The sequence below is a fragment of the Homo sapiens genome, chromosome 10, assembly GCF_000001405.40.
Source record: "Homo sapiens chromosome 10, GRCh38.p14 Primary Assembly".
In the NCBI taxonomy this organism is placed as follows: domain Eukaryota; kingdom Metazoa; phylum Chordata; class Mammalia; order Primates; family Hominidae; genus Homo; species Homo sapiens.
Window position 1 is genome coordinate 32,565,713 of NC_000010.11, and position 13,841 is coordinate 32,579,553.

General features: G+C 35.6%; 1 protein-coding gene across 48 annotated transcripts in view; it reads left to right on the plus strand.

Moving 5' to 3' along the window:
- The window catches only part of CCDC7 (coiled-coil domain containing 7), a 439,541-nt gene that overhangs the window by 122,389 nt on the left and 303,311 nt on the right, over positions 1 to 13,841 (plus strand). For 41 of the 48 annotated variants that reach the window (XM_047425743.1, XM_047425742.1, NM_001321115.2 and 38 more), the window contains 2 exons: positions 1,958 to 2,179; positions 6,147 to 6,181. The exons of 2 other annotated variants lie outside the window; for them this stretch is intronic. In XM_047425743.1, the coding sequence (XP_047281699.1) occupies positions 1,958 to 2,179; positions 6,147 to 6,181 (257 nt within the window). Of the gene's footprint in view, positions 1 to 1,957; positions 2,180 to 6,146; positions 6,182 to 8,716; positions 8,850 to 13,841 lie in introns of those variants that run through there. 5 more of the 48 variants (NR_109826.2, NM_145023.6, NM_001026383.3 and 2 more) reach the window with 2 other exon arrangements.

The following is a 13,841-nucleotide window of genomic DNA, read 5'->3' on the forward strand; positions in this document are numbered from 1 at the left end:
AAGAGGTCTACATATTCTACTATTTGGCTAGGTTTAAACTATATTCATTTTATGCATTAGGGGTATATTAATAAAATTTAATATTCATTCTTATCAAAAATAGCGAGATATAAAGAAAAGTAAACTTTCTTAAGCTAATAAAGGCAATCTATTCATCTGTCATGGTTGCAGTGTGAACAAAAGAAAAGGAAAAGAAAAAAAGACAATGTATTTCAAGCTGATAAGCAATATACTTAAAGGTAAAATACTGCAGGCATTCCAATTAAACTCAGTTGAACCAAGATGTTGACTCTTACTACTCTTTTTAAAATTTTAGTTAAATAATACAACAAGAAATGAAAAAAAGCTATAAGCATTTCATAAATGAATAGACAAAAGTGTATTTGTGTATTATAAAATTGTTTTGCCTACCATCTTGGTAAAAATGTAAAGGACAGAAATATGTAGTATTTGTGGTTGTATGCTGAAATGAGCAACCTTTCACGTACTTCTATTATCAAAAAAGTATGAATTGATATATTCATCTGTTTTTGTTAATAGAAGTATAAAAGATATTTGTTATGTCTTTCTGGGAGACAGAAAAGACATAGCAAAATTGGAAAGATGTAGCCTTTTCACTCAATAAAAGCTTTTAAAAGTTTATCCTAAAGAAGAAAAAAGTGTACAGAGATTTTGTACAAGTATGTACAATGTCATATGTTTTAATAGCAAAAATTTTGAAATGATCTAAATGTCCATTGTTAAGGAGTTTGCTAAGACAATTATAGTATATTATTAAATGTACTTCTATTACCTATTCTGATTTAAATGTATGTTTATTGTTATAGAAACATATCTATGACATTATTTAATGAAAAGAGCATAAGATGTAAGTGTGTATAGTAGGACCCAATTTAGATAAACATTTAAAAAATTTGGCTGGGCATCATGGTTCATGCCTGTAATCCCAGCACTTTAGGGGGCCAAGGCCGGTGGATCACTTTGAGCCCAAGAATTTGCGAACAGCCTGGGCAACATAGTGAAACCCTGTCTCTATTAAAAATACAAAAACTGACTGGGTGTGGTGGTGTGGGCCTGTAGTCTCAGCTACTTGGGAGGCTGAGGTGGGGGGATAACTTAAGCCCAGGAGACTAGAGGTTGCAAAAAAACCCCGCAGATATATATATATATAGCTAATATATATATTAGCTATGTATAATTATATATTATATATATTATAATATGTATTAGCTATATATATGCAGGGTTTTTTATATATAAATATATAACATATTTATATATAAAAAAATATCTTTGTGTAATTTCCCTCTAACCTTTCTAATATAGCTAATATATATATAATATATATAGCTAATATATAATATATATTATATATATATTAGTTATATTTAGAAAAATTTAAAAAGGATATATCTCAAAATGTTAATAGTAATTTTTCTTTATGAGGTGAGATTATTTATGAATTTTCTTTTTATTTATATAGTCTTTTATATAAGTAAGTTAATTGTATGACTAAATAAAAATTATAAAAAGTGACATTTTTAAGGAGACTTTTATTCCAGAAGAAATAAATTGTTTTCCACATTTTATTTCATTCTTTGATATTATAGGTGCTAATTATCCTTCTTATAGTCTATCAATTTTTATAATGTATACCTTATATGAATTTTTATTTTGCTTGTATAATAATTAGAGCCTTAAAAATAACAGCCAGGAAAAACTCCTGGGTATAAAAATAGCCCTCAAAGGTGGAAGAGGTTTCTTCACAACTTCTGATTTTAACTGTGGAATTGTTAAAGTATCAATTATAGCAATAGCTTACCTTTGCTCCCTTCAACTCAGTAAAAATGAGTTGAGAAATCATGTAGGCGTAAATATATGTAGATTCCTGAATGTGGTAGTATTGGCAGGAAAATATCAGAAAATGCTTAATAAACTGGTACTTTTTTAAAAACAGGAAGCTGAAAAAGCTAAGCATCAACTTAACTATTTCCTAAATCAAGAGAAGTTACTTAAAAGTGAGGGGAAAACTGAGACAACAATGCAAGTGGGTAATAGTCAAACAAAAGTTAAAGGTGAAGATTCAAAAAATATACCATTGGAGAAAGAAACAAGAAAATCACTGGTTTCAGATTCAGGTGGACAAAGGACAAGTGATAAAATCCAAGAATATCCACAGGTGAGGAAATAACCAAAATGGAGACAGTAGTATATGTTGTGAGAAATTTGTCTTTTATATTATTATTTACTTCATTTGTATATGTTATTTAAAAATTCATGCCTCTGTTTTTGGGTTTTTTTTTTTTTTTTTTTGAGATGGAGTCTTGCTCTGTCGCCAGGCTAGAGTGCTATGGTGCGATCTTGGCTCACTGCAACCTCCAACTCCCTGGTTCAAGGGATTCTCCTGCCTCCGCCTCCTGAGTAGCTGGGATTACAGGCATGCGCCACCATGCCCGGCTAATTTTTGTATTTTTAGTAGAGATGGAGTTTCACTGTGTTGGCCAGGATGGTCTTGATCTCCTGACCTCGTGATCTGCCTGCCTCGGCCTCCCAAAGTGCTGGGATTACAGGCATGAGCCACCGCGCCCGGCCTTTGGATTTGTTTTTACTTTTGCCCTTTACCTTCTGTATATGTCAACTCATTATTATCTTGAATACCAAACTATGACTTAAATATATACTGATTTTGAATGACCACATAAGCATCTGAGATTTGAGTCCTTTATTTTTACCTTCTCTTTTTGTGTATAATTTTTATTGTGAACTACCTCAACTTCTTCCTGGAAAGATAAATAATAAAAATAGTTTCTCCGAGGGCAATAAAAATTATTAAAGTTGTTAGATCATGTATATAAACGAAGTAAGGTACACCGAATTGAATATAAAAACAAATATCTAAAGAAATATAGGATTGTCTGTCAGCTGCTTTAAGACAAAGAACAAAAGAAGCAGCACAACTTAAAATCTGCTAGTCATTTTATATCTGCCATTATTATAAAATCTGCTAGTTATTTTATATCTGTGTATACGGGCTAGTCATTTACACAAGACCATAAGCTAGCTATTAGCACCTCCATTCTGAGAATGAAACCAAAGGTTTAAAAAATTAGCCATGCCGCATTACAGTGAGTAATATTGAGTTAGATTTCAAATTCAGGTCTTTCTCGCTCCAAAATCACATCTGAAGATATCTTCTTTGCTTGTCTATATGGCTGCATTTGAAACTTGCTTTGTTAAAAGCTTTATTGTTTTCTATTTCCCAGTATTTATCTCCTAATCCAAAACAGAGGTTTTCATATATGACAGAAAAAGTTAAATAGTAAAATGAACCTGAGCAGAACAGTAACTAAAACATCACATTGCTTTCACATAAGTGATTCTCATTTTAGTGGGTTTATATATACATCAATACACACCTGTCTTCTTATGTATCTAGCTTAACATTCATTAATAAAACATCTTATATGCTAGGTTCTTTGCAAAGATGATGTATATAATGTCATGTATTCAGCTGGCTTGTTCTGGTAATAGTGAAACAGGAGATATCATTATTGGAGATTTTGATGTAATAGAAGTTTATACTCATTGTCCATGTTCTTATAGTAATTTAACTGTAACCTTCTTTCTCAATCACTGTATTAAAACTATTTTTGCTGAGGTTATAGCAAATCTATTTGATGCTATTCTGAAGGATGCTTTATAGTTTTTTTCTTTCTTTCTTTTCATTTTTTGAGATGGAGTTTCTCTTTTATTGCCCAGGCCAGAGTGCAATGGTGTGATCTCAGCTCACTGCAACCTCCGCCTCCTGGATTCAAGTGATTCTCCTGCCTCAGCCTGCCAAGTAGCTGAGATTACAGGAGCCTGACACCATGCCTGGCTAATTTTTTATATTTTTAGTAGAGACGGAGTTTCACCATGTTGGCCAGGCTGGTCTCGAACTCGTGACCTCAGGTGATCCACCTGCCTCAGCCTCCCAAAATGCTGGGATTACAGGCATGAGCTACCACACCCAGCCAGATGATTTATAGTTTAATCTCATTTGTCCTCTTAGCAGCATTTAATATGTTTAATCATTTATTTTTTAATACTTTTGTATTATACTTTAAGTTCTGGGGTACATATATAGTCTATAGTTTGAGAAATAGCATAATTATTTGATTTTCCTTGTATATTTTTGGGACACCTCTTTTGTCTCCTCTTGCTCTGCTCATTCTTTAAATGTTAGTAGTTCTCTGGGTTTTGTCCTAGAGTTTCTTTTTATTCCATATACTCTTTCTGAACATGCTCATATACCTTCATGGCTTCTAGGGCCATATAAATCTCTTATCTCTAACTCGAATAACACCTAATTTCCAGACCTGTTATTCATTAACTTACTGAATTTTTCTGTTTCAATGGGCTTCAAACATCTAGAATTCACCATGTCCCCAAATGAACCAATTGCGCTCTTCTCAGACCTGCTTTATCTCTCAGTATTCAGTCTCCTGGCATCCTCATCCATCTAATTGCTGAAACTAGAAAGCCCAGCATCACTGTTATTTCTTCTTTTCCTTTGTCTTGATCCAATTATTATCCATCAAATTCTGTCCAGTTTTCTCAATATTAATGACAGTTCTGTTAGTCAGGCTCACACCAGGACTAATTGGTCTCTCTCTTTCCAGGCCAGTCTCATGTTGGTGGCTAGTTGAAAATCCTTGGTTATTTATTAGTTAGTATATAGGATAACTATTGTGACTATTATGACATATAGACACAAAATGTATGATGGCTCAAACACAATGGAAGCTTCTTTCCTGGTGTTAATAGTCCAAGGAAGTTCAAGGTCAGTCTTCGTGGTAGGGAGTTCTGCTCCACAGGGTTGTTAAGGTATCCCAGCATATGGAAGGTTTGCCATCTTATGTGTGGCTTCCTGAGCCACACTAGGCATAGTTATCTAGCTATCAGAAAAGAATATGGAGGACAAACATGAGTAATTTTCATTGACCTGGCTGGAGGAGATGCACATTCTTTTTTCTCACGTCCTATTTGCTACATTTAACTACAGGGGGAATTAACAAATGTAGACTAACAATGTGTCTAAGAAGAAGAGAAAATTAGTTTGTTGACCATTTAGGAGTCTTTGCCACAGGGGAATAAGGATAAAACCAGTTAATCTCTGCATAAAAGAAACTGAATTAGATGAAAATCAGGTCCAGAATAAAACCTAGAATCAACATTTATACTATAGGAAAATATGTATTATATTCACAAGAGGTAATTTATTAATAAAAATCACACTTTTAAGGTCACTGGCCTTTTTTTTTTTTTTTTTGAGAGAGAGTCTCACTCTGTTGCCCAGACTGGAGTGCAGTGGTGAGATCTTGGCTCACTGCAACCTCTGCCTCCTTGGTTCAGGTTCAGACAATTCTGTCTCAGCCTCCCGAGTAGCTGGGATTACAGGCGCCCGCCACCATGCCCAGCTAATTTTTGTATGTTTAGTAGAGAGGGGGTTTCACCATGTTGGCCATGGTAGTCTTGAACTCCTGACCTCAGGTGATCTGCCTGCCTCGGCCTCCCAAAGTGCTGGGATTACAGGTGTGAGCCACCTTGCCCGGCTGGCCTAACCTTTTGGTTACATACTTCTGTAAACATATTTGAACATGTATTCTCAGTATACTTATTTTAAAATTGATAAATTACAAAAAGTACCTCCACAGTTTATTATATATAGTATTAGCATTATAAACACTTCAACAAGAATATTTAAAAGGATTAGATAATTATGTAATAGATAAGTTTAAAATAAATTTTGAGCTACTCTGCCTGTGGAGCAGGCCTGCTCTGTCTATGGATCAGCTATTTTCTTGTACTCTGTTGCTCTAATAAACATGCTTTTCTTTAACTCAAAAAATTTTTTTTTTGTTTACTAAAAGTATAAAACCTTATTTGCTCTTAATTTAGAAATATAAGTGTAATTTTAGGGCCTACTCTCCTTCTATAATGTCTCTTCCAATGCTAAAATATGATAATTTCTTTGCTTTTTTGATACCTTAATCTTACGAAATTGTCATATTAAAAAACTACCTTAAATGATATTTTTCTAAATGACTGTAAACATTTCATATGCATACTTGATATTTTTAAATGTAGTATTATCTTTATCACAGATCACTGCCCAAAGCGGAAGACTGATTGAAAAGAGGTAAAACACTTTTTAAAAATTTGTTCCCTCATTTTCTAATCTTTATCAGTTCACATACCTAAGCAATGAAAATAACCATTCTAAATTTAATGTCACAAAACTCTTTGAAACTAATTTTAAGTAGAAAATGTTAGAAACTTTAGATATCAAAGTTAGAAGAGTTGATGCAGTCAAAATCAAAATTAAATGAAAAATTTAAATTTAAATTTAAATTAAGGACAATGTAGAAACAAACTTTTTTTTCCTGACAACAGCAATTAAAATTTCCAGATAGTGAGGAACTAACCCTTATTTTCAACTTAGTTATCATCAAGATGCATGAGCTAGATACATAAACAACTTAGTGAAAAATCATTTTTACCTTCCATTTTAACTCAGTTACTATATGCACACATATGTATGTACATGCATACACATAAATAATTGAGTTGATTGATTCATCCAATTAAATCTTATAGTTTTCACTAGTGAGTCTCTTTGATTAGTATATTATGATCGACTCACAGACTTTCTTGATTCACATTACCATGGAGTAAAGAGGAATTACCTAGAAGTATGCATTTATGTACTTCATTGCCATTTTAAATATTTATGGATTATAGACCCAGGTGAATTAGCAAGAATTAGGTAATAAGTGTAATGATTAATGGCCAGAAGTTTTGAAAATGTTCATTTTAAATGTTTGTAGTGAATGTTTATATTTATATGTTTTAAATACTAACTAAACATATACTAAAAACTATATGTTTTAAATACAATGTCCAAGAGAAAATTAGACGTTGGTCCACTTGTTGCTTTGCAAACTTATAATGGTTGGTTTCTTATTATTGATTTCTTTATATTTTAAATATGTATAGTCAGTATTATAAACATTTGAGAATGTATAAGAAAAAGTATTAATAATTATCTTCAACAGTAATGGGAACTTATGTATCATGTAGAAATAGGAAGGAATAAAGCAAAAGCATGGTGCTTTTTTTTTTTTTTTTTTTTTTTTCTTCAGATGGAGTCTCGCTTTTAATTGCCCAGGCTGGAGGGCAGTGGCATGATCTCGGCTCACTGCAACCTCTGCCTCCCAGGTTCAAGTGATTCTCCTGCCTCAGCCTCCCCAGGAGCTGGGATTACAGGCGTCCACCACCATGCCCGGCTAATTTTTATATTTTTAGTAGAGACGGGGTTTCGCCATGTTGGCCAGGCTGGTCTCAAACTCCTGTCCTCAAGTGATCCACCCACCTCGGACTCCCAAAGTGCTGGGATTACAGGCGTGAGCCACCATGCCCAGCTGGTGCTCTTATATTCATACTCAGATTATGGTAGAGCATGGAATGCTACTATAGTTTTCCATGCAATCATGGTGACGTATAGCCTTTGAAAATCCTACAGAGCCAGTAGTTTATCACCCTGAAGAACATGAGGTGGTTAACTTTTGATATAAGTTGTTTTAATATTGAACATTTAGTTGCTGCTGATAAATGTGATAGGCTCTTTGTACATTGGTAAATCTCAGAAAATAGAAACACTGGCTTACAAAAAGCATTTTAAAGAGAGTTTCTGGTCTCTATGAAGACATGGTAAGGCAGTTTCAGTTACTTTCCATGGGTGTTTGGAAAAATCTTAAAGAGGGGTTATGATAATGTTACCTAGTGAGTTATTACCCCTGGCAGCCCTCATTCTACTTTTCTGATAAGTCACATTTTAGAATTTTAATGGGAAGTGATAGAATGGAAGAAGGGTTCAATGGAGAACAACAGAATGAGGATGATGGGGAATATAGTACATCAAGATTAAAAAAATCATAGAATGGATATATCAAATAATTCCTCTTAAATGCCTTTTTCCCCCTAGAAATGTTGATTGATGTAATAACTTCAGGAGGAAGATTATTTTAATTCATTTCAATTCAGTTTAGCTCTAATGAGGAAACACTGACTGAGCATCTATGCTGTGCAAGGCACTGTGCTGGGTATTATGGGATATAAAGGGCTTCAAATATATGGTCATTGCCCTCAATGCATTAACAGTCTAGTAGGGCCGACTAGACATGTACAAAAATAAGTGAAGTATAATGCAGACGTTGCATTCTATAAAACATTACCAAGAAGCTACATCAAAGAAGAGGAAAAGCTATTTCTGACTGGATTAAGAATTACATACCATTTAATTTTAGAAAGATGGTTGGGTTGGATTTTAACAGGGAAATGTGAGGAAAGGGTGTGCCAAGTGGACAGAACTTTGCTTTGAGGCAAAGATGAAGATGTTTAGAATCTATACAGTGTGCTCAGGAAGAGGCCAAAAATTCATTTTGTTTGCATCCTAGACTAAGGACAATAATGGGAAATATGAGATGAAATAGGTTGTTTCAGCTTGATAGGTTTTATAGAATTGCACTTAATAGCTTTAGGTTAATTATTATATATTATATAATAATATAATATATTACATATTATATTATGTTGCTAAATATAATAAAAATTCAAACTATTAAGCACATGGCACAATATTATTCATCAACCTTCATTTTGGGTTACTTCTTAGATGCTAATAGAGTTTCTGAAATACTTTGGAAAAGTCTCCCAAACCTTCAGAGAGTGGATGGGAGCGAAGTAAGGAGACCCCACCTGAGCAGATACATGGTATTGCTTACAATAAAGTACATTTTTGCTCTTTACAACATTTATCAGTTTATTTTGGCTTAGGGAATGAGTTAGTGGTAAATAGTTAATCAAACAATAGATTTTAATAATTTATTGTTTCACATCATGTGCGTTGTTAGCTTTTCTTAAATGTTTTGTGGCATTGAAATTCACACTTTTTAGAAATGAAAATGTGAACTAATTCATGGTGTTTTATTTTGAAGAGTTACACAGTCAACCTAGTTCTTTCTAAATACTTTCATTAGGACTTTCATTATTACTTGGGTTTGCTATCAAGCACGAAAACATACAAGAGAAGAGTGTTGGAACATGTCCATTTTTTTTCTCCATAGATTAGATGATTAGCTGTTAAATTTACTCATTCATTTATTCACCCAACTCATTCAAGAGATACTTTTGTCACCTTCATATGTCCAGTTCTCTTTTGGGTATTGTGTTTTACTGAAAAATCAGACAGATAAGATGCCTTTTCTTGTGGTACTTACATTATAACAGGAGAGACAAAAAATAAACAAGTAAAAATAAATGAACAAGATAATTTTAGAGACTAATACATGGAGATAATGAAACTACATATCTGACAGTCACAGGGAAGGATAATTTAGATTGGGTGGTCAAGGAAGGTATTAACAATGAAGAAAAGGCATTATCTAATTGTGAAATAAAGGCTGTTAAAATATTTTGTTTCTTTTCAATTTTTATCAAAATAAATTTCTGCAAATGAAAATGTATGTTATAACTAAAAGATCTAGACTAGAGGAGCTTTTAATATCCTCAGTTAACTGTTACACAAGGGGCATATTACTAGTGACCCAAATAGTACGCATAAGGTAGATTTTATAGAGGAAACCTTGCAATCCAGGAAGCAATAGAGGATATAATATCCCCTGAGCTGTCATTATTCCGTAGAGAAATAGACTTAGATTAAGCAAAGCTGGATTCACCATAGAAGATGCTCCTGAGAGGAACCCCCTTCTCACATATCACTTCACAAAATTATAGGGGAATTGGGAGGGCATAGAGAGCACCTAGTCAACCATGTATCACTGAGAGCTTCCTGGTTGGGGCAGTGGCCTTGTTGGAAAAAGGGAGAAGGGAGTATGTACTTTGTATACCAATGTAGCTGGTATCAGTGAGTCAAACAGTCCTGGTGAGCCAGCTCTGTGAAACCACAAAAAGAGGGAAGAAAGAGAATCACCGGGACCATCCGTAAATAAAGATTTGCCTCACTGCTGTCTATCCTTTGATCTTAGAGACTCATTATTATAGATCTCTCCATCAGCCCTGGCTGACACCTGGTTCTGAGCATACCAATTTCCTTAGTATTGTCTGGGAGAAGAATATTAGTAAGGTCACCAGCTGGGTTAGATGAGGATGTAGAACCAACATCCTAATAAGTTCACATTATGAACTCTTTTTCCTGGCCAAGCACAGAAACCTTTGTTTAGGAATGTCTGTTCCATATCTGCCATAGGAAAGAGAAAGTCGTTCATCACCTCCCTTGAACATCCATCTCCAACCATTTCCCAGGGTCAGATATGTTCACATCTGACAAACAGATCTGTTTTTCTCCATGGAGATGAGCCAGATTGTCCTTTGTCTGGAATGATAGTTCAGTGGGGACCCCAAAGTTACCATTTTGCCATCATAGGTCACCTGCAGGTTTCAAAGAGGATGTCTGCAGCACCATCTGTTGCTTTTAAATGAGCAATATGTTGTGTGTTCCCATGCACTGAGGTCAAAGCAAAGGGGGTTAAAAAAAAAAAAAAAAGAAAAGGAGTATACTATTCCTCTTGAAATGATATTTTTCTCTACTCCCTAACTTCTAGGTGCTTTGGAGTTTAACCATGGTAAGAGGGGCCCTTGCTTGGTACGGTAGCCTATAGCTTGTAAACAATTAGGGAAAACTGGACTGACAAGCCTTGTGGAGGTTGTTTTCAAAAAGGCTGCCTTAAATGGCAAGTAGAATAAGCCTGATGGACAACAGTGGCCTGTGTGTCTTTTTTTTTTTTTTTTTTTTTGAGATAGGGTATCACTTTGTCCCCTAGGCTGGAGTGCAGTGGCACCATCATGGCTTACTGCTTCTTCAACCTCCCACACTGAAGCCATCCTCCCACCTTAGCTGTCTGATTGGCGGGGACCACAGGCATGCATCACCATGCCCAGCCAATTGTTTTATTTTTTATAGAGACTCAGTCTCCCTATGTTGCCCAGGCTGGTCTAGAACTCCTGGACTCAGGGACTTTTCGCACCTCAGCTTCCTAAAGACTTCTATGTCTTTTGAATAAATTCCTTATTGGCCATTGTGTTCCTTCATAGCGGGATGGATTTGAACAGGCACCCAAGACTATACTGGAGATGATGGTTACACATTCTTAATTGGCTTTTTCATGTCACATGTTTTCCTTTAGATTCAGTTCTTTCTCATGGACATATAAACATAGAATATAAGAATTGAGCTTGTGACTAAGTTGTTGTAACTATTTCCTTGGGCAAATGTTACCTCAGAAAAGCATGTGTAAAGAGTTCTGTTGGCCAAGTGTGGTGGCTCACGCCTGTAATCCCAGCATTTTGGGGAGGCTGAGGCAGGCAGATCACGAGGTCAAGAGTTCAAGACCAGCCTGGCCAATATGGTGAAACCCCATCTCTACTAAAAATACAAAAATTAGCTGGGCATGGTCGTGCGCGCCTGTAGTCCCAGCTACTTAGGAGGCTGAGGCAGAGGAATCACTTGAACCTGGGAGGCGGAGGTTGCAGTGAGCTGAGATCGTGCCACTGGGTGACAGAGCGAGACTCCATCTCAAAAATAAAATAAAATAAAATAAAGAGTTCTGTCCTAGGGAACCCAATAGCCTGACAGTGTAACTAGGCTCATTACTAATGGCTCATTAGTCTTTATAATAGTGCAATTCAGTCAATCTGAGGAGATTGTGCTCTATGGCCATGAAGAATGCCTGAAGTTTACCCAGTTTTGAAGCATGTCCAATACCATGGGATCTCAACAACTCACCATCATTATGGTGAAGGAATGTATCACTCCATAAGATTTTATGACCTTTGAGAGAGGCTTTTCCATTAGTGAATCATGCTTTCTTGTCAGGTGGCAAATCTTTCAGGCAAGTGCCTTACTGAGTCAATGGCTTGTTTAAAACAGCAGAGGGATCTCTGTGCCTGTGAGTGTAGGGCCATATTTTATGAATTTGTCTAAGGTCTAATTGATTGGATGTGCTATATCCCCCTTTTAATAGAATTTTCCTGGGCATGTACCACCTTATCAGATTTTGGATTAGAGAAGACCCATAATGCGATAGGAATGTCGGGTTGAAGAGTGAGAAAAGTCTGCCCCATTAGGGCTCAGTAATAGGCTAGCAGTCACTGGCATGTGCCACTCAGCAGGAGAAGAAAATCATTTCATCCAAAGATGTAGGAAATGACAAATAACTTGAAGTATTTTTGCCAAAAGCTTCCGTCAGAAAATGGTTTCTTACAGGTATGTGTAATCCCATGAGTTTGAAAGATACGGCAAAATCTAAAGTTAGAACTTGTTTTTAGGATGCCTAGACCTCTTCCAAGGCATGTTAATATATGGGCTTCTATTTTAAATTAGTTGCATTGATATAGTGCTTTGAAGAATCACCAGGTGTAAAATGTGATATCACCACTACCTAACAAGGAAAATCGTTTGTGGTTGGGACTGGAGGCCCGATAAATTTTCCTTTAAAGCAGCAGTTTCCTGCCTTTTTAGCACCAGGGACCAGTTTCGTGGAAGACTCCACAGACCAGGATGGAGGGGGTGGTTTCAGGATGATTCAAGCACATTACCTTTATTGTACACTTTATTATTATTATTATTTCATTATAATATATAATGAAATAATTATACAACTCACCTTAATGTAGAGTCAGTGGGAGCCCTGAGCTTGTTTTCCTGCAACTAGATGGTCCCATCTGGGGGTGATGGGAGACAGTGACAGATCATCAGACATTAGGTTCTCGTAAGGAGCACGCAAACTAGATCCCTCACATGTGAAGTTAACAATAGGATTTGTGCTTCTATGAGAAACTAATGCGGCTGCTGATCTGACAGGAGGTGGAGCTCAGGTGGTAATGCAAGCGATGGGAGAGTGGCTGTAAATACAGAGGAAGCTTTGCTTGCTCACTCGCCACTCACCTCCTGTTGTGTTGCCCAGTTCCTAACAGGCCATGGACTGGTATCAGTTTGTGGTCCAGGGGTTGGGGATGCCTGCTTTAAGTGATATAGAATGTATCTTTTTGATGCTGTCCAGATGATGACTGCCTTCTCCAAATTTATCTGAATAACAGGGCCCTGGATCATTTAAAGTTATCTTTAATCAGGTATGCCTAGACAACATGTAATGTTTCTTCGGTGTTGATCACAGTCATCAGTGTGATATAATATCTGGAGATTCTAGCAATGCACATTTTACTGGGTTTTGTCCCACATTGAAAATGTGTAACAGGAATTAAAACATTCTCAAGAAGGATTATTAAAGGTATATGTACTAATCTTGGCATATCTTGCCAAATCCTCAGCTACATATGTGTGTCAGTAGTGGCAGCAATTTATTCTATAGCTTGTGTAAGGACAGAGACTGGAGTAAGTAGAGCTGTTTCTTTCCTTGTTTAAGTTTCAGTAGTCCACTATGGAGTGTCAAGTACTAGTTTTTGTTTTTTTTTTCTTAACCAAACAGACTAGCATTGCATAGTGCATTGATTACATTTTGTTTGAAAAATACTTTATTTTTATGTTTCTTGTATGAAATATTATGGAATGATCTTGCCAGTTCAGACAGGTTTTCACCATGTGCTTGGCCAGCCATTATGGAGGTTATCAATAGATAATTATCCAACTAATATGGCTGTGTACCTGTTCTCGGTTTAATAATTCAGAATGTCCTTATATCAATTATATAATCTGAGAAAGAAACAGCAAACAGTATTAATATAGAGTACAAAAATAGTAGCCTTGTGTGTTTGGGTTCCCC